Source organism: Homo sapiens, chromosome 4, assembly GCF_000001405.40.
Source record: "Homo sapiens chromosome 4, GRCh38.p14 Primary Assembly".
NCBI lineage: Eukaryota > Metazoa > Chordata > Mammalia > Primates > Hominidae > Homo > Homo sapiens.
In genome coordinates this window covers 27378630-27383286 of record NC_000004.12, presented here as the reverse complement: position 1 = coordinate 27383286, position 4657 = coordinate 27378630, and the positions used below count along the sequence as shown (strand labels likewise).

Below are 4657 nucleotides of genomic sequence, written 5' to 3'. Positions count from 1 at the left end.
GGTTTTGATTTATATTTCCCTAGCAGTTAGTAGTGTTGAGCATCTTTCATATTTGTATATCTTATTTAAACAAATGTCTATTCAAGCCTTTTACTGATTTTTAACAGTTGTTTGAGAACTTGAGTTCAGGAGTAGAATTTATTATGGACATGGACAAAACACCGTTCCAGTCACCCAAACATTTAGGTACTCCTTTCAAACCAAACTGGACCAGATCAGGCACTTCATCAAGCAAGACAACAGATGCTGGCGAGGGTGTGGAGAAAATGGTATGATTTTACACTGTTGGTGGGAATGTAAATTAGTTCAACCATTGTGGAAGACTGTGTGGCGATTCCTCAAAGATCTAGAAGTCAAAATACCATTTGATGCAGCAATCCCATTGCTTTCAATTCTGTCTTTCAATTCTAAGCCTTGAATACATACCCAAAGGAATGTAAATCATTCTATTGCAAAGATACACCCATATGTATGTTCATTGCAGCACTACTCACAATAGCAAAGACATGGAATAAACCCAAATGCACATCAATGATACACTAGATAAAGAAAATATGGTGCATATACACCATGGAATACTATGCAGCCATAAAAAGAAATGAGATCATGTCATTTGCAGGGACATGGATGGAGTTGGAAGCTATTACCCTGAGAAAACTAATGCAGGAACAGAAAATCAAACACCACATGTTCTCACTTATAAGTGGGAGCTGAATAATGAGAACACATGGATGCATGGGGGGAAACAACACACACTGGGGCCTGTCAGGTGGGGCAGGCAGAGGGAGAGCATCAGGAAGAATAGCTAATGCATGCTGGGCTTAATACCTGGGTCGTGGGTTGATCTATCCAGCAAACCACCATGTCACGCATTTACCAACGTAGTAATCCTGCACATCCTGCACATGTACCCCAGAACTTAAAATAAATGTTGATGAACAAAAAAAAAAAAAAGAAAAAGAAAATGGAGAGCACGAAAATCTCAATTTGCCTAAGTAATTCAGTGAGAACAGATCTTCAATTTTGTCTTTCAATTCTAAACCTTGATATCTATTCTGCTCCCTTGCTGCTAGTAAGAAAGCTTGTTTTTTATTTTGTTTTGATTTGTTTTTAGCTTCTGAAATATATTTTGGTCACACCCTTTTCACATTTTGTGAAAGAGGAAGGGAGGTCTTTCTGATCCTCGATGATCTGGGGCTATTTCCAGAAGGCTGATTCACCACCATTCCTGCCAGTCTCTCTGTTGGAAGTCCAAGCCACTCAGCTAACACACCCACTCCATGTGCTCACCCCTGCTGTGAATATGCATTTCCACCCTCCTGATTCAACATTGCACACCTGTGTATGAAGAGGAAGCTGAAAGCAAGTATCTTGCCTTCTCACGCAGGTGGTAAAGTGAGAGAATAAAAGCGAAGAGTGAGTAAGAGTATTCTTTCATTGCTTCAGGCTGTGCTTCAAACCCGTTATTGTGTTCAGACCATCTCTCTTTTTACCAAACCACAATTTGACAGGGCATCAAAAACCATGTAATAAATATTTTTATTTTACAATTGGTAAAACAGTCTTCGGGGGAGGAGCCAAGATGGCCGAATAGGAACAGCTCCGGTCTACAGCTCCCAGCGTGAGCGACGCAGAAGACGGGTGATTTCTGCATTTCCATCTGAGGTACCGGGTTCATCTCACTAGGGAGTGCCAGACAGTGGGCGCAGGCCAGTGTGTGCGCGCACCGTGCGCGAGCCGAAGCAGGGCGAGGCATTGCCTCACCTGGGAAGCGCAAGGGGTCAGGGAGTTCCCTTTCCGAGTCAAAGAAAGGGGTGACGGACGCACCTGGAAAATCGGGTCACTCCCACCCGAATATTGCGCTTTTCAGACCGGCTTAAAAAACGGCGCACCACGAGACTATATCCCACACCTGGCTCAGAGGGTCCTACGCCCACGGAATCTCGCTGATTTCTAGCACAGCAGTCTGAGATCAAACTGCAAGGCGGCAACGAGGCTGGGGGAGGGGCGCCCGCCATTGCCCAGGCTTGCTTAGGTAGACAAAGCAGCCGGGAAGCTTGAACTGGGTGGAGCCCACCATAGCTCAAGGAGGCCTGCCTGCCTCTGTAGGCTCCACCTCTGGGGGCAGGGCACAGACAAACAAAAAGACAGCAGTAACCTCTGCAGACTTAAGTGTCCCTGTCTGACAGCTTTGAAGAGAGCAGTGGTTCTCCCAGCACGCAGCTGGAGATCTGAGAACGGGCAGACTGCCTCCTCAAGTGGGTCCCTGACCCCTGACCCCCGAGCAGCCTAACTGGGAGGCACCCCCCAGCAGGGGCACACTGACACCTCACACGGCAGTGTATTCCAACAGACCTGCAGCTGAGGGTCCTGTCTGTTAGAAGGAAAACTAACAACCAGAAAGGACATCTACACCGAAAACCCATCTGTACATCACCATCATCAAAGACCAAAAGTAGATAAAACCACAAAGATGGGGAAAAAACAGAACAGAAAAACTGGAAACTCTAAAACGCAGAGCACCTCTCCTCCTCCAAAGGAACGCAGTTCCTCACCAGCAACGGAACAAAGCTGGATGGAGAATGATTTTGACGAGCTGAGAGAAGAAGGCTTCAGACGATCAAATTACTCTGAGCTACGGGAGGACATTCAAACCAAAGGCAAAGAAGTTGAAAACTTTGAAAAAAATTTAGAAGAATGTATAACTAGAATAACCAATACAGAGAAGTGCTTAAAGGAGCTGATGGAGCTGAAAACCAAGGCTCGAGAACTATGTGAAGAATGCAGAAGCCTCAGGAGCCGATGCGATCAACTGGAAGAAAGGGTATCAGCAATGGAAGATGAAATGAATGAAATGAAGCGAGAAGGGAAGTTTAGAGAAAAAAGAATAAAAAGAAATGAGCAAAGCCTCCAAGAAATATGGGACTATGTGAAAAGACCAAATCTACGTCTGATTGGTGTACCTGAAAGTGATGTGGAGAATGGAACCAAGTTGGAAAACACTCTGCAGGATATTATCCAGGAGAACTTCCCCAATCTAGCAAGGCAGGCCAACGTTCAGATTCAGGAAATACAGAGAACGCCACAAAGATACTCCTCGAGAAGAGCAACTCCAAGACACATAATTGTCAGATTCACCAAAGTTGAAATGAAGGAAAAAATGTTAAGGGCAGCCAGAGAGAAAGGTCGGGTTACCCTCAAAGGAAAGCCCTTCAGACTAACAGCGGATCTCTCGGCAGAAACCCTACAAGCCAGAAGAGAGTGGGGGCCAATATTCAACATTCTTAAAGAAAAGAATTTTCAACCCAGAATTTCATATCCAGCCAAACTAAGCTTCATAAGTGAAGGAGAAATAAAATACTTTATAGACAAGCAAATGCTGAGAGATTTTGTCACCACCAGGCCTGCCCTAAAAGAGCTCCTGAAGGAAGTGCTAAACATGGAAAGGAACAACTGGTACCAGCCGCTGCAAAATCATGCCAAAATGTAAAGACCATCGAGACTAGGAAGAAACTGCATCAACTAACGAGCAAAATCACCAGCTAACATCATAATGACAGGATCAAATTCACACATAACAATATTAACTTTAAATATAAATGGACTAAATTCTTCAATTAAAAGACACAGACTGGCAAGTTGGATAAAGAGTCAAGACCCATCAGTGTGCTGTATTCAGGAAACCCATCTCACGTGCAGAGACACACATAGGCTCAAAATAAAAGGATGGAGGAAGATCTACCAAGCCAATGGAAAACAAAAAAAGGCAGGGGTTGCAATCCTAGTCTCTGATAAAACAGACTTTAAACCAACAAAGATCAAAAGAGACAAAGAAGGCCATTACATAATGGTAAAGGGATCAATTCAACAAGAGGAGCTAACTATCCTAAATATTTATGCACCCAATACAGGAGCACCCAGATTCATAAAGCAAGTCCTGAGTGACCTACAAAGAGACTTAGACTCCCACACATTAATAATGGGAGACTTTAACACCCCACTGTCAACATCAGACAGATCAACGAGACAGAAAGTCAACAAGGATACCCAGGAATTGAACTCAGCTCTGCACCAAGCAGACCTAATAGACATCTACAGAACTCTCCACCCCAAATCAACAGAATATACATTTTTTTCAGCACCACACCACACCTATTCCAAAATTGACCACATAGTTGGAAGTAAAGCTCTCCTCAGCAAATGTAAAAGAACAGAGATTATAACAAACTATCTCTCAGACCACAGTGCAATCAAACTAGAACTCAGGATTAAGAATCTCACTCAAAGCCGCTCAACTACATGGAAACTGAACAACTTGCTCCTGAATGACTACTGGGTACATAACGAAATGAAGGCAGAAATAAAGATGTTCTTTGAAACCAATGAGAACAAAGACACCACATACCAGAATCTCTGGGACGCATTCAAAGCAGTGTGTAGAGGGAAATTTATAGCACTAAATGCCTACAAGAACAAGCAGGAAAGATCCAAAATTGACAACCTAACATCACAATTAAAAGAACTAGAAAAGCAAGAGCAAACACATTCAAAAGCTAGCAGAAGGCAAGAAATAACTAAAATCAGAGCAGAACTGAAGGAAATAGAGACACAAAAAACCCTTCAAAAAATCAATGAATCCAGGAGCTGGTTTTTTGAA

At 43.2% G+C, this 4657-nt stretch overlaps 3 annotated features.

Annotated features, from left to right (window-relative positions):
* Positions 842-2041: an enhancer, noted in NCBI's record as "P300/CBP strongly-dependent group 1 enhancer chr4:27382868-27384067 (GRCh37/hg19 assembly coordinates)". NCBI's record gives its function as "activates an origin of replication core promoter dependent on BRD2, BRD4, P300/CBP, MED14 and CDK7 cofactors, with strong dependence on P300/CBP, by STARR-seq in HCT116 cells {active_cell/tissue: HCT116}" and the evidence as "EXISTENCE:reporter gene assay evidence [ECO:0000049][PMID:35650434]".
* Positions 842-2380: a biological region, named in NCBI's record as "P300/CBP strongly-dependent group 1 enhancer GRCh37_chr4:27382868-27384067".
* Positions 1809-2380: an enhancer, noted in NCBI's record as "NANOG-H3K27ac-H3K4me1 hESC enhancer chr4:27382529-27383100 (GRCh37/hg19 assembly coordinates)". NCBI's record gives its function as "activates a minimal SCP1, AML or CMV promoter by ChIP-STARR-seq in primed H9 embryonic stem cells {active_cell/tissue: H9 hESC(primed)}" and the evidence as "EXISTENCE:reporter gene assay evidence [ECO:0000049][PMID:30033119]".